General features: G+C 40.8%; 1 pseudogene across 1 annotated transcript; it reads left to right on the plus strand.

The window, feature by feature from the left end:
• The first annotated feature begins 1,306 nt into the window (after positions 1 to 1,306).
• SLC68A2P (solute carrier family 68 member 2, pseudogene) lies at positions 1,307 to 23,136 on the plus strand (annotated as a pseudogene). The gene is made up of 4 exons (NR_136333.1): positions 1,307 to 1,604; positions 14,841 to 14,995; positions 18,230 to 18,313; positions 22,843 to 23,136. The product of NR_136333.1 is annotated as a solute carrier family 68 member 2, pseudogene (transcript).
• Positions 23,137 to 23,448: the final 312 nt, after the last annotated feature.

A 23,448-nucleotide genomic window follows, 5' to 3' on the forward strand; every position in this document is an offset into this window, starting at 1 on the left:
AAAAATTAGCCAGGCGTGGTGGCATGCGCTTGTAATCCCAGCTACCCAGGAGGCTGAGGCAGGAGAATCACTGGAACTCTGGAGGCAGAGGCCGCAGTGAGCCAAGATTGCTCCACTGCACTCCAGCCTGGGCAACAGAGCAAGACTCTGTCTCAAAAAAAGAGAATTTTTTTTTTTTAATTTTAGAGATAGGGTCTCGCTATGTTGCCCAGCCTGGTCTTGAACTCCTGGGCTCAAGCAATTCTCCTGCCTTGGCCTCCCAAAGTGCTGGGATTACAGACATGAGCCACTGTGCTCGGCTAGGGTTTTTAAGGATTTGATAAAATAATGCACATAAACACTTATACAATGCCTGAATACAAAGTGAATGCAAGCCGGGCGCAGTGGCTTATGCCTGTAATCCCAGCACTTTGGGAGGCCGAAGCCGGCAGATCACGAGGTCAAGAGATCAAGATCATCCTGGCCAACATGGTGAAACCCCGTCTCTACTAAAAATACAAAAATTATTTGGGCGTGGTGGTGCGTGCCTGTAGTCCCAGCTACTTGGGAGGCTGAGGCAGGAGAATCACTTGAACCCGGGAGGTGGAGGTTGCAGTGAGCCGAGATCGTGCCGCTGCACTCTGGGCTGGCGACAGAGCAAGACTCCGTCTAAAAAAAAAAAAAAAAAAAAAACAAAGTGAATGCACATTGGCTTTTGAGTAGTATTTGCTGTTATTAAATTTTTAAGTAGTTCTGAAAACAATGAGCTTTTCTACTGATCACCTTCGGTTACTTCACGTAAGTAAAAAAAAAAAAATCAGGGGTCATTTTTGTCTTGTACTGAGGGCAGTAATTTGTTCTACTACACTGAAACATCCTGTGTGTTTTTTTCTTCCTAAATAATTTTAATGATATGGAATGTTCTTAATGACCTGACTGGATATTTTCCCAACAACTCTAAAGCCAAATGCTGTTCAAGTCATCATATTTCTGTCTTGTACTGTGTCCCTTTCTATGCAGCAGCCTTCCTGCTCCCGTGGTTCCCTTGGAAATACTATCAAGAAGGTGACTGGCTTAGTGGACTTCACCTGGTGGTATCATTATGTGCATTTGATAGCATGCCCACCTGTGTCCAACAAGCCCAATGTAAACTGTTTGCAGAGATTTTCACTAGACATGAAAGTCGGCTTCAGCTTATTAAAATTAACCAAGTGGCATCACTTGTGGGCTCTACCAGTATCCTTTTCTATGGCCTGATCTCTAATAACATGGAAATTTTGCCCCATTTCCAGGCTGTTGCCATCGTCATTGCTTTCCTTGCTGCTGCCAGCCTTTACGCTGGGATGTATCACGTGAGGCGTTTCAAACCTAAAAGAAGCCCCAAAGAGAACCTCCTCTTGGAATCTAAACAGAATCTCGCCTGGACTCCTGTCATTTTATCCGTGAGATAGATCTTGCCCCAGAAATACTTTTACCTTTTTCTGATCATGAATTTCTTTCAAGTCTTTAATTTAACCTTTTTCAGCAACTTCATGATGATCTTTGCAGATATTCTCATTCCCAGAGATGTACTATCTTCTTCTATAAGGAGCATTATGTACGGGGCAGGCTTTATTTGCCCACAGGTATGTAATAGTTCTTTATGTTATTTACTATTATTATAATTATTATACTTATGTTCTCTATGATTTATAATTTGTGATAATTTTTCCTGCAGGGATTAGAGATTTAACTCTTAGCTGGATGATGATATTAGAAACCTGATTTCATCAGTAGTTTGAAAAAGTGACACACAGTTTTTTTTTGTTTGTTTGTTTGAGACAGTCTTGCTCTGTCACCCAAGATGGAGTGCAGTGGTGTGATCTCGGCTCACTGCAACCCTCGCCCTCCCAGGTTCAAGCAATTCTCCTGCCTCAGCCTCCTGAGTAGCTGGGATTATAGGTGCACGACACCACACCTGGCTAACTTTTGTATTTTTGGTAGAGACGGGGTTTCACCATGTTGTTCAGGCTGGTCTCAAACTCCTGACCTCGTGATCAGCCTGCCTCGGCCTCCCAGAGTGCTGGGATTTCAGGCATGAGCCACCGCACCTGGCCGACACACAGTTATTAAAAGACCCATAGATTCAGAGCTCCACATATCATACAAGATTCAGTAGAAACATAATGGAAAAAAGAGACAAGGTCAAGCCCACTGGCCCATGCCTATAATCCCAGCACTTTGGGAGGCCGAGGCGGGTGGATCACTAGAGGTCAGGAGTTCGAGACCAGCCTGGCCAACATGGTGAAACCTTGTCTCTACTAAAAATACAAAAATTAGCCGGGCTTGGTTGCGGGCACCTGTAATCCCAGCTACTCAGGAGGCTGAGGCAGGATAATCGCTTGAACCCAGGAGGCGGAGGTTGCAGTGAGCTGAGATCGCACCACCGTACTCCAGCCTGGGTGACAGAGTAAGACTCCATCTCAAAAAAAAAAAAAAAAAAAAGAGACAAAAGGAAAAAAGGAAAGAGTCCCCAATGAGAACCGAATAATGTGATATTTTAAACATTTTTGCTGTGGAATTTTGTTCCTCTCAGCTTTCTCCTTTAAGCCTCAGCAGAACTATGGAAGAAAACAGCTTCCTGTGAGCGTGTCGTTTTGCTTTATTTGGGTGTTTAAGACTTCTGTGACCATCACATGGAAGAACAGTTAGTTGATCAAGTTTCAAAACACTTGGCTAAAAGCCTGAGTCCTGGAATTTCAGAGCACTATTAAAATTCCATGGTCATGATCATTATTGTAGAGGTCATGTCCTCTTAAAAAAATATACTGGTCTGCTGCTTATACCATTTGGAGAGCTGATATGTTGTTCCCCTTAACCTAAATATGTCCTCTAAAAATATGACTTTATCTTGCCTATGATAAAGGTTTTTCCTGTTTTCACAAATGATAAGCAAAACATCTTAGCAATACTCTTCAGGGAAGAGGTTATTCTAGATAGACTAGTTTTTACTGTTTACCAGCTTTCAAAAATCGTTAAGCCATTTGGGATAGAAATAGTTCTAAAATGTTTTAAGTGTTGCCACAATTTCTTTATTTCTATTTATTTATTTATTTATTTATTTAGAGATGAAGTCTCGCTCTGTCGCCCAGGCTGGAGTGCAGTGGCGCAATCTCGGCTCACTGCAAGTTCCGCCCCCCGGGTTCATGCCATTCTCCTGCCTCAGCCTCCCGAGTAGCTGGGACTACAGGCGCCCGCCACCACGCCCAGCTAATTTCTTTGTATTTTTAGTAGAGATGGGGTTTCACTGTGTTTGCCAGGATGGTCTCAACCTCCTGACCTCGTGATCTGCCCAGCTTGGCCTCCCAAAGTGCTACGATTACAGGTGTGAGCCACCACGCCCGGCCTATCTCTTTATTTTTTTAGAGACAGTGTCATGCCCTGTCACCCAGGCTGGCGTGCAGTGGCACAATCATGGCTCACTGCAGCCTTGATCTCCTGGGCTCAAGCTTTCCTCCTACCTCTGCCTCCTGAGTAGCTGGGATCACAGGCGTGCACCACCATGCCCAGCTAAGTTTTTTATTTTTTGTAGAGACAGTGTTTTTCAAGACCAGCCATGTTGCCCAGGTTGGTCTTGAACTCCTGGTGTCAAGCAGTCCTCCCACCTTGGCTTCCCAAAGTGTTGGGATTGCAGGCATGAGCCACAGTGTCCGGCCCACCACAATTTCTTAAGCAAAGTATATAGAATAGAATTTGCCTGTCTGCTATTATCCCAATGTCTTTATAATTACTGTATGTGCCATAATAATGGTAATCCACAGTTTTGAGTGTTTACCCTGTGCCATGGACCATTGCCAAGTGCATTGTGTACATTACCTGACGTGATCCTCATAACAATCTTGGAGGAAGAGATTCTTATTCTTACAGACGAGAAAAGGGAGATGGTACCTTTAGAGCTGTGTACTTTAAGATTCTGTCTCTAAAATGTACTGTGCTTGCATCATTTATTTAGCAGAGTATATCAAATGGAATTTCATGTCTGGCTTATCAGTATAGTCCATGTACTGTGTATGCATGATAAAATGATGCTCTCCTTTCAAAGCAATTTGAAGTTTGTTTGCTCCTCTGTTTAACCACCCAGAATGGGAAGCTGTTTGAGTTCCTGTCTCTGCTTATTATTTGCTATCATATTCTAGGCTATATATGCTTTCTTACTTTAAATCATGTATAATACTTGCCTATAGTTTATCCTCTTCACCAGGTTAAAAAAAAAATTGTTAAACTCTTATGTAAGCCTGGGTGTGGTGGCTCATGCCTGTAATCCTGGCTTTTTGGGAGGACGAGGCAGGCAGATTGCTTAAGCCCAGGAGTTCAAGACTGGTCTGGGCAACATGGCGAAACCCTGTCTCTACAAAATATACAAAAATTAGCCAGACATACTGGTGTGCTCCTGTAGTCCCAGCTATTCAGGAGGCTGAGGTAGGAGGATCACCTGAGCCTGGGGAGGACAAGGCTGCAGTGAGCCGAAATCACACTTATACACTCCAGCACGGGCAACAGAGTGAGACCCTGTTTGTCTCAAAACCAACAAACAAAAACTCTCGTGTAAAGACAAAGAGTAGGCTGGGCGCAGTGGCTCACGCCTTTAATCCCAGCACTTTGGGAGGCCGAGGCGGGCGGATCACGAGGTCAGGAGATTGAGACCATCCTGGCTAACACGGTGAAACCCCGTCTCTACTAAAAATACAAAAAATTAGCCGAGCATGGTGGCGGGCGCCTGTAGTCCCAGCTACTCTGGAGGCTGAGGCAGGAGAATGGCATGAACCTGGGAGGCGGAGCTTGCAGTGAGCCGAGATCGTACCACTGCACTCCAGCCTGGGCGGCAGACCAGCCTGGGTGGCAGAGTGAGATCTCTGTCTCAAAAAAAAAAAAAAAAAAAAGTAGATTTTTTTTCTCTTAACTCAGCTCAAGAACAACCAGCAAAGGTAGATTTTTTAAAAACAGTTTTGTTGAAATGATTCACATACCATACCTCATTTAAAACATACAATTCAACAAATTTTAATATATTCATGGAGTTGAGCAACCAGCACTACAATCATTTTTAGAACATTTTTATCATTTTGAAAAGAACTAGTCAATTTTTGAGGAGTTGAAATTCTTGAAAGTACAATCTCATTGCACTTTCCCCTCATCCCTTGGTTACCATCAGTCTACATTTTGTCTCTATGGATTTGCTTGTTCTAGACTTTCATATAAATTGAATCATATAATATGTGGTCTTTTGTGACCAGCTTCCTTCACTTAGCATTTTTTTTACACTAGATGTAATTTGATGTACACTTAGCATGTTTTTAAGATTGTAGTATGAGTACTTCATTCCTTTTAATAACTTAATAAGTCATCATATGGCTATAACACATTTTGTTTATCCACTCCTCAGTTGATGAGCATTTGGGTTGTTTCTGCTTTTTGACTATTAACAAGTAATGCTGCCATGAACATTAATGTACAGGATTTTTGCACAGATATATATTTTCATTTCTTTTGGGCATATATCCAGGAGCGGAATAGTTGTGTCTCACATAGTAACTCTATGTTTCACATTTTGCGATACTGACAGACCATTTTCCACAATTGGTGCACTATTTTACATTCCTACCAATAATGTACAACGGGTCCAGTTTTTCCAAATCCTCACCAATACTTGTTATTATCTGTGTTTTTGATTATAGCCATCCTAGTGTGTGTGAATGACATCTCATTGTAGTTTTGATTTGCATTTGCCTGATAGTTAATGATGTTGTGCATCTTTTTATATGCTGTTGGTCATTTGTATATGTTCTTTAGAGAAATGTCTATTCAGGCCAGGCGCGGTGGCTCAAGCCTGTAATCCCAGCACTTTAGGAGACTGAGGCGGGTGGATCACTGGAGGTCAGGAGTTCAAGACCAGCCTGGCCAACATGGCGAAACCCCATCTCTACTAAAAAATACAAAAATTAGCTGGGCGTGGTGGTGGGCTCCTGTAATCCCAGCTACTCGGGTGGCTGAGGCAGGGAGAATTCCTTGAACCCTGGAGGTGGAAGTTGCAGTGAGCCGAGATCATGCCACTGCACTCCAGCCTGGGTGACAGAGTAAGACTGTCTCAAAAGAAAGAAAGAAATAAAGTAAAAGAGAGAAATGTCTATTCAGCCCATTTGCCCAGTTTTTAATAATTAGGTTGTCTTTTTATTTAGTTTACTAATACTCGAGTTGTAATAGTTCTTCATATTAATATATGTTTGATGCAATCTGTTATCAGATATTGTTTGCAAAATTTTTCTCCTGTGGGTTGTCTTTTCACTTTCTTTCTTGATGAGATTGAGAAGTATGAGTCTTCCTACTTTATTCTTCTTTTTCTTTTTTATTTAATTTAATTTTTTTTGAAACAAGAGTTTCAGTCTGTTGCCCAGGATGGAGTTCAGTGTCGCCTTGACCTACACTGCTCACTGTAGCCTCGACATCCTCAGCTGAACCAATCCTCCCACCTCAGCCTCCTGAGTAGCTGGGACTACAGGCATGCGCCACCACTCCCAGCTAATTTTTAAAAATTATTTTTTGTAGAGATGGGGCATCACTATGTTGCCCAGGTTGACCTCAAACTCCTGGTCTCAAGTGATCCTCCTGTCTTGGCCTCCCAAAGTGGTAGGATTATAGTCGTGAACCACTGCACCCAGCCTCGTTCTTCTTTTTCAAGATTGACTTGGCTATTCTGAGTCTCTTGCAAATCTATATACATTTTAGAATCAGTTTGTCAATTTCTACAAATAAGTCAGCTGGAATACTGATAGGGATTGCACTGAATTTGTAGATCAGCTTGAGTAGTATTGCCATATTAATGATGTTAAATCTTCTGATCCATGAACATGGGATGTTTTTCCATCTATTTAGATGTTTAGAAATTTCTTTCAATATTTTATAATTTTCCCCTTCTTTTGTTAAATTTATTCACAAGTATTTATTTGTTTATTTATTATTGATTTATTGAGATGGAGTCTCACTCTGTCTCCCAGGCTGGAGTGCAGTGGCGTGATCTCGGCTCACAGCAACCTCCGCCTCCCAGGTTCAAGCGATTCTCCTACCTCAGCCTCCCGAGTAGCTGGGACTACAGGCATGCACCACCAAGCCCAGCTAATTTTTGTATTTTTAGTAGATATGGGGTTTCACCATGTTGGCCAGGCTGGTCTTGAACTCTTGACCTCAAGTGATCCACCCGCCTCGGCCTCCCTAAGTGCTGAGATTACAGGTGTGAGCCACCATGCCTGGCCTTTTTTTTTTTTTTTTAATCTTTTAGAGACAAGGTCTCACTCTGTCCCCCAGGCTAGAGTGTAGTGGCATGATCATAGCTCACTGCAGCCTCAAACTCCTGGGCTCAAGGAATCCTCCCACCTCAGGTTACTGAGTAGCTAGGATTACAGGCATACACCACCATGCCTGGCTGACTTAATTTCTTGGTAAAGATGGAGTCTCGCTATATTGCTCAGGCTGGTTTTGAACTCCTGGTCTCAAGCAATCTTCCTGCCTCAGCCTCCCAAAGTGCTGGGATTACAGGTATGAGCCACTGTGCCTGGTCATTAACAGGTTTTAATATAAGCTTCTGTTTTTGTTTTTCATGCTTTATTTAATATTTGGAAAAATTTAAGAGTTGAAAGAAAGGCAGGATTTTTCTTGTAGCTTTATTGCAGTATGATTGACCTACAAAAAAAACTGCATGTATTTAAACTGTATAGTTTGATACATTCCAGCATATGTACACACCATGAAACCATCACCACAATTAAGATGGTTAACGTATCTATTATTCCCCAAAGTGCCTTTCTGCTTCTTTGTTAATCCCTTCCTTCCACCCTTCCCTAACCTCCCTAATTCTCAGGCAACTGTCGAGCTACTTTCTATCAGTATAGATTTGTTTACATTTTATAGGTTTTTATATAAGTGGAATCATACAGTAATGTACTATTTTTTGGTCTGGATTCTTTTGGTCATGTTGTGAGTATCCATATTTAATTCCTTTTTATTGCCAAGTAGTATTCTATTATGTGGGTATACCACAATTTGCTTTTTTTTTTTTTTTTAAATAATTCCTCCCCCTCCGCCCACGTTTTTTATCATTTCAACTTTTATTTTAGATTCAGGGAATATATGTGCAGGTTTGTTATGTGGGCGCATTGTGTGATGTTGAGGTTTGGGGTATGATTGATCCTGTCACTCAGGTAGTGAACATAGCACCCAATAGTTAGTTTTTTAACCCTTGCCCCCTGCCTTTCTAGTATTCCCCAGTGTCTATTGTTGCCATCTTTTTGCCATGAGTACCCAATGCTTATCTCCCACTTATAAGAGAGAACATGTGGTATTAGCTTGTCTGTTCCTGTGTTAATTTGCTTTGGATAATGGCCTCCAGCTGCATCCATGTTGCTGCAAAGGACATGATTTCATTCTTTTTATGGCTATGTGATAGTCCATGGTGTATATGTGCCACATTTTGTTTACCCAGTCCACCGTTGGTGGGCACCTAGGCTGATTCCATGTCTTCACTATTGTAAATAGTGCTACAATGAACAGGAGAGTGTATGTGTCTTTTTGGTAGAGCAATTTATTTCCTTTTGGATATAAACCCAGTAATGGGATTGCTGGGTCAAGTGGTAGTTCTGTGTTAGGTAGTTTGAGAAATCTCCAAACTGCTTTCCACAGTGGTTGAACTAATTTACATTGCCATCAACAGCGTATAAGTGTTCCCTTTTCTCTGCAGTCTATCTGTCTGTTGGTTTTTTTTTTTTTACTTTTAGCAATAGCCATTCTGATTAGTGTGAGATGGTATCTCATTGTGGTTTTGATTTGCAGTTCTCTGATGATTAGTGATGTTGAGCATTTTTTCATGATTGGCTGCTTATGTCTTTTTTTGAGATGTATCTGTTCATGTCTTTTGCCCACTTTTTAATGCAGTTGTTTGTTTATTGCTTGGTCAATTGCTTAGGTTCCTTATAGATTCTGGATATTAGACCTTTGTCAGGTGCATAGTTTGCAAGTATTTTCTCCCATTCTATAGGTTGTCTGCCTACTCTGTTGATAATTTCTTTTGCTGTGCATAAGCTCTTTGGTTTAATTAGGTCCCACTTGTCAATTTTTGTTTTTGTTGCAATTGCTTCTAAGGATTTAGCAATAAATTATTTCCCAAGGTTGATGTCCAGAATGGTGTTTCCTAGGTTTTCTTTTAGGATTCTTATAGTTTGAAGTCTTACATTCAAATCTTTAATCCATCTTGAGTTAATTTTTATATGTGGTGAAAGGTGCAGTTTCAGTCTTCTGCATATGGCTAGCCAGCTATCCCAGCACCATTTATTGAATAAGGAATCCTTTCCCCATTGCTTATTTTTGTTGATTTTATTGAAGATCAGATGGCTGCAAGAGTACAGCTTTATTTCTCAGTTCTCTGTTCTGTTCCATTGGTCTATGTGGCTGTTTTTGTACCAGTACCATGCTGTTTTGGTTACTGTAGCCTTATAGTACGATTTGAAGTCAGGTAATGTCACTGGCTTTGTTCTCTTTGCTTAGGCTTGCTTTGCTATTTGGGCTCTTTTTGGTTCCATATGAAATTGCAAATAGTTTATTCTAACTCTGTGAAAAATGATGTTGGTAGTTTGATAGGAATAGCATTGAATCTGTAGATTGCTGTGGGCAGTATGGACATTGTAACAATATTGATTCTTCCAATCCATGAGCATGGAATGTTTTTCCATTTGTGTCATATATGATTTTTTTCAGCAGTGTTTTATAGTTCTCCTTGTAGAGATCTTTCACCTCCTTGGTGAGATGAATTCCTAGGTATGTTAATTTTTTCTGTGGCTACTGTAAATAGGATCGCATTCTTGATTTGGTTCTCAGCTTGAACATTATTCATGTAAAGAAATGCCACAGATTTTTGTACATTGATTTTGTATCCTGAAACTTTACTGAAGTCATTTATCAGTTCCAGGAGTCCTTTGGTGGAGTCTTTAGGGTTTTCTATGTATAGAATCATATTGTCACCAAAGACAGATAGTTTGACTTCTTCTCTTCCTATTTGGATGTAATTTCTTTCTTTCTTTTGCTTGATTGCTCTGGCCAGGACTTCCTTCTTTCATCTCTTGATGGACATTTGGGTTGGATCTGGTTTTTGGCTGTTACAAATAAAGCTATGAGCATTTTGTGTCTTTGTATGGATATATGCTTTCCTTGCTCTTGAGTAAATACCTAGGAGTAGAATGGCTGGGTTGTATGGAAGGTAGATGTTTACCTTTCTCTTTACTTTTTTTTTCCTTTTTTTGTTTGAGACAGAGTCTCATTCTGTCGCCCAGGCTGGAGTGCAATGGCGCAATCTCGGCTCACTGCAAGCTCCGCCTCCTGGGTTCATGCCATTCTCCTGCCTCAGCCTCTCGAGTAGCTGAGACTACAGGCTCCCGCCACCACGCCTGGCTAATTTTTTGTATTTTTATTAGAGATGGGGTTTCACCATGTTAGCCAGGATGGTCTCGATCTCCTGACCTCGTGATCCGCCTGCCTCGGCCTCCCAAAGTGCTGGGATTACAGGCGTGAGCCACCACGCCTGGCCGGTATGTAGTATCTTACTGTGTTTTTGATTTACATTTTCCTAATGACTACTAATGATGTTGAGCATCTTTTCATATGCTTACTTGCCATCCATGTATCTTTTTGGTTATTTATTAAAATAATTTGTGTCTTTTTAAATTGAGTAATTAGTCTTCATATTATTGAGTTGTAGGAGTTATTTGTATATTCTAGGCACATGTCTTTTGTCAGATATATGATCAGTAAATACTTTCTCTTAGTCTCTCTTGGTTACTAGTTGTTAAGAGAAGTATAGCCAAAAGATTTTAACAGTCATTTTTCTTAAGCCCTCACAAAAACATAGGACTTTCTATTGATCTCAATAAAAAATTATTATAAAATGGAAATCCAGGTCTGGCCCAATGGCTAACACCTGTAATTCCAGCACTTTGGGAGGCTGAGGCAGGAGGATTGCTTGAAGCCAGGAGTTTGGGACCAGCCTGGGCAACACAGCGAAACCCTGTCTCTACAAAAAATAAAAGAAAATCCAAAGTTGCTTGAAATTTATTCTTAATTTCTAGAGAATTAACACGTGTAAATTATTGTGGTAAAAAATGACAGCTTGGCCAGGCGTGGTGGCTCACGCCTGTAATCCCAGCACTTTGGGAGGCTGAGGTGGGTGGATCATGAGGTCAGGAGTTCAAGACCAGCCTGCCAAGATGGTGAAACACTGTCTCTACTAAAAATACAAAAAATTAGCCGGGCGTGGTGGTGGGTGTCAGTAATCCCAGCTAGTTGGGAGGCTGAGGCAGAGAATTACTTGAACCTGGGAGGTGGAGGTTGCAGTTAGCCGAGACGGTGCCACTGCACTCCAGCCTGGGTGACAGACTCTGCCTCAGACAAAAAAAAAAAATAATGACAGCTCATTGGAATCTGTTGTTCTTGTTATTCATTTGGCTAAGTCTCTTTAACACTTTATTGGATAAAATAATGAAGGGTGAGCACTATGTTTTCATTTTCTCTTTCTCTCTCCGTCCTCCCTCCCTCCCTTTCTCCCTTCCTCTTTCTTTCTTTCTTTCTTCTTTCTTTCTTTCTTTCTTCTTTCTTTCTTTCCTTTTCTTTCTTTCTTACCTTTTCTTTCCTTTTCTTTCTTTCTTTTCTTTCTCTCTCTCTCTTTTTCTTGAGACAGTCTCTCTCTCTCTCTCTCTCTCTCTTTTTCTTGAGACAGTCTCGCTCTGCCACCCAGGCTGGAGTGTGATGGCATGGTCTCAGCTCACTGCAATCTCCGCCTCCCAGATTCAAGCAATTCTCCTGCCTCAACCTCCCAAGTAGCTGGGATTACGGGCATGTGCCACCATGCCTGGCTAATTTTTGTATTTTTAGTAGAAATGGGGTTTCACCATGTTGGCCAGGCTCGTCTCCCAACTACTGACCTCAAGTGATCCACCTGCCTCGGCCTTCCAAAGTGCTGGGATTACAGGCGTGAGCCACCGCACCCAGCCCTCAGGCTGGTTTTCTTTTTGAGGAGTTGAATAAATAAAGGAGAAAAGGATGAATAAATACTCTGTCTCCCTAATAACTGTTGGTATAGGTCTGTCACTCTTCCATATTACACTCCCCAGAGAGGCAGAGGAGTAACTGGGTTAAGAGCATGGATCTGCAGTCTGCCCAGGAGGAGCCTGGCTCTCCACTTACTAGCTGTGCAATCCTAGGTAAGTTACTCAACCTCTCTGTGCCTTAGTTTCCTCATCTGTAAAATGAGGATCAAAATAGTACCTACTGGTCTGGGCACAATGGCTCCCAGTACTTTGGGAGGCTAAGGTGGGAGGGTCACTTGAGCCCAGGAGTTTAAGACCACCCTGGGCAACATAGCGAGACCCTGTCTCTATAAAAAATTTAAAAAAATAGCCAGACATAGTGGCACACACCTGGAGTCCCAGCTACTTGGGAGGCTGAGGTGGGAAAATCGCTTGAGCCCAGGAGGTCAAAGCTGCAGGGAGCCGTGATTGTGCCACTGCACTCCAGCCTGGGTGACAGAGCAAGACCCTGTCTTAAAAAACAACAAAAAAATAGTGCCTACCTAAGGAAATTATTATGAGGGTTAAATGAATTAAAACATCCAAAGTACTTAAAACGGTTCCTGGCACAAAATAAACCCTCTAGAAATGTTAGCTCTTATTATGTACAGCCAACTCAGTGCAGCAGGTATCTATTAGACTTTCACTGTGAGCACAGCACTGCCTTTATCCCTCTGTCTTGATGTAGGCTCCTTTGCCACAGGTTTGCCAACACTTATGTTGGAACACACTGTTGAATGGGGAGCCAAAATCTTTCATCTGTAGAAGGCTTTATTTTAGTTAAAAAAAAAAAAAAAGGCGGTCTTTCTCTTTTCTTTCATGATTTTTGTGATACTACTCATCATTGGCTTATATCTTTTTATATATTGGACACAAGAAAAATAGCTACCAATTATTAAGTGCCTTATATGTTGAGTATGGTGCTAGGTAAGAGAAGAGAAATGGAAGAGAGCAAGAGTGAGAGAGAGAGAGAGAGAGAGAGAGAGAAAGTTTGTCTTGGTGGGGGAAATGCCTCTTAGGTAAAGTAACTTGTCTGTGAAGAAATAGCTGGTAAAAGTGGCAAAGCTGGAATTTAAACCTAGGGACATCTGATTTCAAAATCTTTCACTTTTTAGCCAGACGTGGTGGTGCATGCCTGTGGTCAGCTACTTGGGATGATTGCTTGAGCCCAGAAATTTGAGACCAGGCTGGGCAGCATAGTAAGACCTTGTCTGTAAAAAAAATCTTGCACATTCCACTCTACCACATATTTCTTACATTATTAACTTCTTGTATTTTGTATGTTTATGTACTAGAGATGGAGAAACAGCAGCTGCATTTCAATATGTGGAAATGTGTTCCTTTATAATATTATAATAATATTTAAGAATATAATTGGACTTGTTGGGGTATTTTATATACTTCCTCTTACAGAACTCTAAGAAATGCCTTGGACCACATCAATCACTGATCCATTGTTTTTTAGTATCCAGAAAATGAACTCTTGTTCCTTGAAAGTAGAAAAGTCAGTCAAAAAATCAGTCAGGGTAAAAAAAACCCTTATGTTTATTAAAGAACATCTGTATTCTACTTACATCATTCAAAATTCTCTTCTAACTATAATGCACATACTTTTGGTTAGTGAAAACTTATCAGGGATAAACAATGTGTGCTTTTTTATTGAAAACAAAGAGTATCTTCTGATCTTTGTTAATGTACATATGTATATTTAGCATAAACTTTTCAGTCTAGAACAATGAACTTTTTCACTGATAGCAAGAAATGCAAAAAACCTAAGTCTGAGCTCTTAAAATGAATCTGTTATAATGATAAAAACATATAAAGTTAGGCAGGGCACAGTTAGCAAGGAATGCTAACTCTTGTTTACCCTGATGCTTGATTTTAGGGTAAAAAGTACATTTCAGGCAAGATGTGGTGGCTCACGCCTGTAATCCTAACATTTTGGGAGGCCGAGGCAGACAGATCACTTGAGCCCGAGTTTGAGACCAGCCTGGCCAACATGGTGAAACACTGTCTCTACTAAAAATACAAAAGTTAGCCAGGCACAGTGGTGCTTGCCTGTCATCCCAGCTATTCAGGATGCTGAGGCATGAGAATTGCTTGAACCTGGGAGGCAAAGTTTGCAGTAAGCTAAGATCATGCCACTGCACTTCAACCTGGATGACAGATTTGAGACTCTGTCTCAAAAAAAAAAAAAAGTTACCATTCATAATCAATTTTTGGTATATATGGATAATAATGGCATATCTAAGCAAGATAGTTTTAATTGTGTGTTTCAATTGACACTATAATTCAGAAGCAAATTTATTTATTTATTACATATTTTTTGAGACAGGGTCTTGCTCTGTCACTCAGGTTGGGGTGCAGTGGGTGTGATCATAGATCATTATAGCCTCAACCTCCTGGGCTGAAGCAGTACTCCAACCTGAGCCTCCCTAGTAGCTGGGACTACAGCTGTACATCACCACACCTAGCTAATTTTTGTATTATTTGTAGAGATAGAATTTCACCATGTTGCCCAGGATGGTCATGAACTCCTGGGCTCAAGTGATCCTTCTACCTTGGCCTTCCAAAGTGTTGGGATTATAGGCATCAGCCACCACACCTGGCCAGCAATTTATTTTGCAATAAGAATGTTTATTTTGTCATCAGCAAGAGTAAGTAAGCTTAATAATGCGTGGAGTTCCATCTTAACACAATGCCATTCTGTTTCCATTTCAGTGCCTTGTACTTATCAGTCAGTCCTGGCTGAAAAAGTTTGATTACCATAAGATCATCTTAATTTCTTTCTATGTAGAAGGAACAGCCTCCATTGTAATGTTACTCCTGGGAAAGCAATACTATTACTGTTTGGCTCTTTATCTCACTATTATCATGTAAGTAAATGCTGGTTCCAGTCTCAAAATTACACTAAATTTTACTATTTGCCCTTTCAAGCAGTGACACATTTTTGATCCGGACTGAGTTTAATATTCATTTCTAGGCAAGGTCATTGTACCTTTTTGACAAATTGTCTGAATGTTAATGGCTTGTTTTATGAAGGAATTTCATACATTAAATTTTGTAGTAAACTTACTTTTTTTTAACCTATTAAAAAATTTACTTGGAAGGCTAAGGTTGGAGGATTGCTTAAGGCCAAGAGTTTGAGACTAGCCTGGGCAACAGAGTAAGACCGCATCTCTATAAAAAATTAAAAAATTTTTTGGTGGCACATGCCTGTAGTCCCAGCTACTCTAGTGGCTGAGGCAGGAGGATCATACTTGAGCCCACGAATTCAAGTCATAGTGAGCTACGACTGCACCACTGCACTCCATCCAGCCTAGGTGACAAGAGTGAGACCCTGTCTCAAAAATATATTTAGTAAATACTGCTGCCACGTATAAAAGACACTGAGCTTCTATTTCTCCTTCAACTCTTCCTCCTATTTCTGCAACCTCTCCTCCTCCCCCAAGCACCCACTTTGCCTCCATCACAGGCATGTCAAATTCTGCAGGTCCAAATCAAAGATCTTGCTGCCAAATCTGCTCTTTTGCCATTATTTGCCATCTCGGGAAATGGCTTTGCCATCTATCTGGTTGCCCAAGTCAGAGACCGAGAAGTTGTCTTTGCCTTTTCTCTCTTCTTTGACACCTAGGTCCAACACACTGTTAATTGTTAGCAGTTTTATCTCCCTAATGTGCCCTGAATCCATCTCTTCTCAGTTCCACTGACATTCCTATAGCTCATTTCTTACATGGAATAGGATACAGTCTTCCCATATGATCCCCTAGTTTATAGTCTCCAGTCTCTCCAACTCCCTCTCTCATATTGCTTCTAGAATAACATGCTCTTCCTTTGCTTAATAATCTTTTTTTTTTTTTTGAGATGGAATCTCACTGTGTCGCCCAGGCTGGAGTGCAGTGGCACGATCTTGGCTCACTGCAAGCTCCGCCTCCCGGGTTCACACGATTCTCCTACCTCAGCCTCCCAAGTACCTTTAATAATCTTAAGTGGCTTCTTATTGCTTTCAGGGTATTTCGAAATGATGACATTATGATGTCTTGTTATATAGTCCCTCTTTATCTTTTCGTCTTCATTTCTTTTTTTTTTTTTTTCTGAGACAGGGTCTTGCTCTGTTGCCCAGGCTAGAGTACAGTGGCACAAATATGGCCCACTCTAACCTCCACCTCCCAGGCTCAGGTGATCCTCCCACCTCATCCTCCTAAATAGCTGGGACTACAGATGTGTACTACCATGCCCAGCTTAATTTTTATTTTTTGTAGAGATGGGTTTTTGCCATGTTGCCCAGGCTGGTGTTGAACTCCTGGGCTCAAGCGATCTGCTCACCTTGGCATCCCAAAGTGCTGGGATTACAGGTGTGAGCCACTGTGCCCAGCCTTCATCTTCATTTCTTGTTACTCCTCAACTTACACTGTACTCTCTGCCATACAGAAATACTTTGCAGTTCCTGGTTCAGACACCTCTGTGTCTAGAAGATGCAGTTTCCTGTGCCTGGAAAGCTCTTCCCCATTTCTTGCTTGGCCCTGTCCTCACGTGTCTTAGGCCACAGTTCGGGCATGTGCTTCTCTGGGAAGCCTTCCCTGATTTCCTCATCTGGATTAGGTGGCCCTCCTATATGACTCCAGTGCCCTATGCTTACTTCTGCTGTGGTGCTTTTCCTCTACCTGCGACTATCTGTAGTCCCCACTGGATTGAGTTTATTGTGAATAGGGTCTAGTCTCTTACCACTGCGGCCCATTACCTACTGCAGTTCCTGCAAATAGTTGGTCCTTAGAAAATGTGTTTTGGGCCAGGCACAGTGGCTCATGCCTATACTTCCAGCACTTTGGGAGGCTGAGGTGGGAGGATCACTTGAGCCCAGGAGTTCAAGACCAGCCTGGGAAACATGGCAAAACCCTGTCTCTACACAAAATAAAAATTTAGCCAGGTGTGGTGGTGCACTCCTGTAGTCTCAGATATTCAGGAGGCTGAAGTGGGAGGATCACCTGAGCCCAAGAGGTGGAGGCTGCAGTGAGCTGAAATCATGCTACTGCACTCCAGCCTGGACAACAGAGTGAGTCCCTGTCTCAAAAAAGAAAAGAAAAGAAAAGATAATGTTTTTGTTTTTGTTTTTTGTTTTATTTGAGATGGAGTCTCACTCTGTTGTCCAGGAGTGCAGTGGCGTGATCTCGGCTCACTGCAACCTCCACCTCCCAGGTTCAAGCAATTCTCCTGCCTCAGCCTCCCGAGTAGCTGGGACTACAGGCACCAGCCACCATGCCTGGCTAATTTTTGTATTTTTAGTAGAGACGGGGTTTCACCATGTTGGCCAGGCTGGTCTTAAACTCCTGACTTCAAGTGATCCACCCACCTCGTCCTCCCAAAGTGTAGGATTACAGGCATGAGTCACTCATTTTGAGTGAATGAATTAATACATTCTATTCCAGGTCCCTGCTGGAACAACTTGAGAAAATTTTCATGAAGACATATTTGCATTTTGAACAAACTGGTAGTGGAGACTGTAATAATTGACTCAAATGATTGAATCCCTATGAAACTTCAAGACATTAGAACCCCATGCAGATAACTATTCTATAAGTCTGTAAGGGTGGCCCTGGCTGTATAATATGTAAAATGATAGTTTATAGTAATTTTTAGAATGAATATTTTTGCTTTTTCTTCACTTAAACCATCCCCCTCATTTTTATTCTTCTATCATAATTAAAATGCTATATGCCCTTTCTCAGTTCTTAATGTATCCTATTTCTGATATCAAGAGAAAGATGTCTGTGTGATTAATTTCCCTGGCACTTCCTGTCCTTTAGAATCTATTAATAATTTAAGCAGATTAAATGAGTTTAGTCATTTGGAATGAGGAAGAAGCATAAAAATCATTTTTAAAATTCCCAAGTGAAAGTAGTTATTTCACTTTTAAAAGAGAATTATATATTCATAGATATATAATATTTGGGAGGATAGAAGGGTATGCCTAATATAGCTTTACTTTTATAGTATATCATTTCCTTTTATCTTCTTGCAAATCAAATGTCAACTTTCATTTTATTCTTTTTTAACAAAAGCTGTGCCTCCTAGTTGTAAAATTTTCATATGTGTTTTAACATTTTTTCTAGGGTTATCGTGTGAGCTTCGGTTTCCTTGTTTACCCTGCCACTAGCTGACATGGTTGATGCAGATTTACTAAAGTTTAATCAGCAGTAAGTATACTTTTTCAAATGTTAGCTACAAAAATATCACATGTAGGCAGGACCTATCAGAGTCTCCATATCTCAGTTATATTGCCACTACAAATCACATATCTGAAAGACAATCATAAGAGGCATTGCTAGGAACCAGGGGACAGAATATAATCAGATATATTCATGCTTGTTTGCCCTGGGCAACTTTTCCCCATTTCTAAAACGACATCACAGTTTTTCATTTCTCAGGTTCACACAGCCAATATTACAACAGGGTTAAATATCAGAAAGCAAAGTGAAATCTCAGTTAGCTGTATGTTCTACATATGGCAATATGCTTTATTACATGGGACGATTAGGTAAAATGACCTTTACTCTGTGACATTGCAAGAATTAAAATTAAAAATCAAGGTCCATCTTATCCTTTCTTAGCTGAAAAAGCCTAAGCTGATGATGAGAGGTTCTGTTCTTTGGTATGATTGTAAGCACTTTAGATCAGCTATAAAGTGTATTTGATTGGCAAATATTTTCTCATACGTGTCCTATTTTGCAGATTAGAGAGAAATGTATTATTTTAAGACAGAGGCACATTGTTTTTTTTTTTTTTTTTAGATGGAGTCTTGCTCTGTCGCCCAGGCTGGAGTACAGTGGTGCAATCTTGGCTCACTGCCACCTCTGCCTCCCAGGTTCAAGCGATTGAGTAGCTGGGATTACAGGCACGTGCTACCACGCCTGGCTAATTTTTTTGTATTTTTAGTAGAGACGGGGTTTCATCATGTTGGTCAGGCTGGTCTCAAACTCCTGACCTGATGATCCACCCACCTTGGCCTCCCAAAGTGCTGGGATTACAGGCATGAGCTACTGCGCCCGGCCAGACAGAGGCACATTCTTTATTAGTTCTGTCAAAACATTTATGCTGCAAAACCTCTTTTGTTTGTTTGTTTGTTTTCAAGACAGGGTCTTGCTCTGTTGCTCAGGCTGAAGTGTGGTGGTGTGATCATAGCTCATTTCAGCCTCAAACTCCTGGGCTCAGGAGATCCTGCTGCCTCAGTCTCCTGAGTAGCTAGGACTATATAGGTGCACACTACCAGGCCCAGCTAATTTTTAAATATATATATGTTGTAGAGATGAGGATCTCGCTATGTTGCCAAAGCTAGTCCTGAACTCCTGGTCTCAATCGATCCTTCTGCTTGGCCTCCCAAAAGTGCTGGGATTATGGATGTGAACCACTTTTATTTTTAATGCAAATAATAAAATAGGGCGCCCAGCCCCCTCTTTTATTTTTAATGCAAATTAAATTGAGGAAAGATTTGCCAGCTACCTGGATTTCTCTAATTCCTTTCCTGTTGCAGAGTTTTGTTGCTAAGTTCATATTTGGGGTGATAGGCAAGGTGGTGAGCTCCTTACAGTCCAGGGCGCTATCTTCACTTTTGTCTCCTTTGTACCTGGAAAACTGACTGGCTCAAAACTCCTTCTGTTGAATGAATACATAAACAAGCAACAACTTCAGTAAACATTTTTCACCTTTCAAATTCCTTTTGAATTAGATAGGTTACAAATAAATAAAATGTCTTGAACAGTGAGAAAGGGAAAGGCATTAACATTTACCAAATGCCAATGTCCAAATGAGCTTGTATGACTGTTTGCTCATTCAGGTCTTGCAGCAGCCTTGAGTGGTAGACATTATGGACTTGACAAATATTTATCGATTTATTCTTTTGTGTCAGGCAATGTGGTAAATGCTGAGGATTCAATACAGTGGGTCTTGTAATGAACTCTCCAAGTTATCTGATGCTCTTCCTTCTCTCTAAAACAGGGGTCTCCAACCCCTAGGCTACAGGCCAGTACCGGTCTGTAATAATATTAGAAATAAAGTGCATAATAAATGTAATGCACTTGAATCATCTCAAAACCAACCCCCCTGGTCCGTGGAAAAATTGTCTTCCATGAAACTGGTCCCTGGTGCCAAAATGGTTGGAGACCATGGCTCTAAAATGTACTTATTCACATGTGCGCAGTAGGTTTGTGACCAAATGGCTACTCTTGAGGACACCTGTACTTTTCTACTCCCATGATTCAGTGTATCATTACCAAGGGTCAGTGTTTTTTAATTCAAATCTCTTAATGTCAGACGTACTTGTTACTGCAATTGCAAAATTTAATTGTACTTATATTTTATAAACAGGAAATATATACGTGAAATGAAAGTTACTTTTATGAAAATTAAGTTGAATGCTTTAGGAAGACTCGATATTGAGTTGTAGGGTCAAGCATTGTGGCTCACGCCTGTAATCCCAGCACTTTGAGAGGCTGAGACAGGAGGATTGCTCAAGGCCAGAAGTTTGAGACCAGCCTAGGCAACATACAAAAGAAGAAGGAGAAGGAGAAGAGAAAAAAATTGAGTTGTAAACAATTACTATCACGTTTGATACAGTGGAAACTAAATGTTTTGAGGGGAAAGTCAAAGAAGTCTAAAGATATTTTGTACTGAGTTTGCTTCATAAGTGACTTGAGGTTCTCTTTATAATTGACAGTAGAAACTGTCTATCATGTAATATGGATCCTGTTTATACAAGAAAGATGGCACAGCACTTTCTTTTTTTTTTCTTTTTTTTTTTTTTTTTTGAGATGGAGTCTTGCTCTGTGGCCCAGGCTGGAGTGCAGTGGCACGATCTCTGCTCACCGCAAGCTCCGCCTCCTGGGTTCACACCATTCTCCTGCCTCAGCCTCCCAAGTAGCTGGGACTACAGGTGCCCGCCACCATGCCCGGCTAATTTTTTGTATTTTTAGTAGAGACGGGGTTTCACCATGTTAGCCAGGATGTTCTCGATCTCCTGACCTCGTGATCCACCCGCCTCAGCCTCCCAAAGTGCTGGGATTACAGGCGTGAGCCACCGCGCCCAGCCGGCCCAGCACTTTCATCAGTGGACATATACTCAGCGAAAAACCCAAAGAAAAGATTTATGAATGAGTATAGTTAAGTTAAAATGGAATGGTTACTGTCTCTTCTTTTAAAAATGATTTTTTTGCTTGAGCCAACTGTCTCACTAATCATGTCAGAGAAGACAAAAACCAGTGAGCAAAACCGGACATAGCCTCTGTCCTTGTGGTACTTATAGTCTAGTTGGGGAGATAGACAGCAATTGTATTGTCAGACAATCAAAGTTATCCCCATTTTCAAGAAACTAAGACCTTGCAGAAATTAATGTTCCCAATGTTCTGGTTAATGTAACCAGCAGACTGAAGAACAGACAATCAAACCCAAGCTCTTACCATCAAATTAAATTTCCTCTAATTCTCAGACCTTGCCTCTCTTTTATTTTTTTCCCTCCCTTTCTTCTTTTTTCTCCTTCCTGTTTTCTTTTTTCTCTTCCTGAGTTGCAAGGTTTCCATCATTAGTTGATATGTGACAAGATTTCAGTTTATTCAGTCAATGCACTTGATTTATTTTATGTGACCTGATTATTTAAAAAAGTTATATGGAGGATTCTTATCAGGAATACATTAAAGTAGTCCTTAATAAAACTTGGTCAAAAAAACTTAGGCATGAATCCCAGTTTTACCATTTACTAGCTGTGTGACTGTGGATGAGTTAATCTGCTTTCCCATCTCTAAAACAGAGCTGGTAATATCTCACTCATGGGATTGTCATGGGATTTAGATGAAGTAATAAGAGCCCATAACAGAGTACAGGGCACAAATAGCGTTCACTGCATAGGCCTGTAAGAGGTGAGCTGTGTCTTCCCTTTGGATCTTAGTTTCTTCATCTAAGAGTTAGGTTCTGCTAGGTATGGTGTCTCACACCTATAATCCCAACACTTTGGGAGGCCAGGGTGGGAGGATCGTTTGAGTCCAGGAGATCGAGACCAGCCTGGGAAACGTAGAGAGACCCCATCCCGCCCAAAAATACAAAAATTAGCCAGGCATGGTGGTGCATGCCAGCAGTCCCAGCTGAGGCTGAGGTGGGAGGATCGCTTGGGCCTGGAAGTTCAAGGCTGCAGCAAGCTGAGATTGTGCTACTGCACTCCAGCCTGGGAGACAGAGTGAGACCCTGTCTTAAAAAAAAAAAAAAAAGTTAGGTTCTGGCTGGGCGCCATGGCTCATGACTATAATAATCCCAGTACTTTTGGGAGGCCAAGTTGGGAGGATGGCTTGAGGCCAAGAGTTCAAGACCAACCTGGGCAACATGGCAAGACCCTGTCTCTAAAAAAAAAAAAAAAAAAAAAGAGTTAAGTTTTTCCCACCATGGCACATGTATACCTGCGTAACAAACCTGCATGTTCAGCACATGTATCCCAGAACTTAAAGTAAAATAAAAAAAAATTTAAAAACAGTTAGGTTTTTCTAGTTTTATAATCCTTTATAACTAAAAGGTTAATATTTTATAATACTATACTATTTTTATTGTTGTCTACTTAGGATTAAGGAAGACTTCATACACAAAGAGATTCCTGATTCAAATTGTATATATGGATATATATATATATATACACACACACACGTAGTTCGTATGTGATATAGACCCATGCTATTTTTGTCTGTTCCAGGTCACCCCTTCCTTCAGTGGTTTTTGGCATTAATGCTTTGTTTACCAAATCTGCCCAGTCTTTAGCGCCCATGGTGATACTCTCTAGGCTAAACCAGTATGAATATGGAAACACAAATAGCAGGTAAAGTAAAAAAAAAAAAAAAAAAAAAAAGCTCTTGAAATAATGTAAAAGAAACATGAAAGCAAACACAGCCTTTTACGTTAATTACTAAGCAATTATCTTGACCTTTGTATATTATTAGTCACTAACTTGTATCTTGAGTAAGGTATAATAAAAAGTATTAGTATCAAATGGACTTTCATAGGAGTATCTTTAAGTATCTTCTTTAAATTATGTACATACTAAATGTCTTCACACTAAGCTACATATTAATTACTTTATCTGAGTTATTCATTCATTTACTATTTCATTTCACAAATGCTTTTGAGTACCTGCGATTATAGTCCAGGTACAAAAGTCCTTTGAATACAGGATGAATACAAACCTTCTAAGGGGCCATACAGATTACACAAAACTGTGATAAGGGACCACCAGAAGTATAATTGGACTGCAGTAATTCAGAGAAGAGATTCCTACCTGGTCTGCCTACGGTCAGAGTGTACT

The sequence above is a fragment of the Homo sapiens genome, chromosome 16, assembly GCF_000001405.40.
Source record: "Homo sapiens chromosome 16, GRCh38.p14 Primary Assembly".
In the NCBI taxonomy this organism is placed as follows: Eukaryota; Metazoa; Chordata; class Mammalia; order Primates; family Hominidae; genus Homo; species Homo sapiens.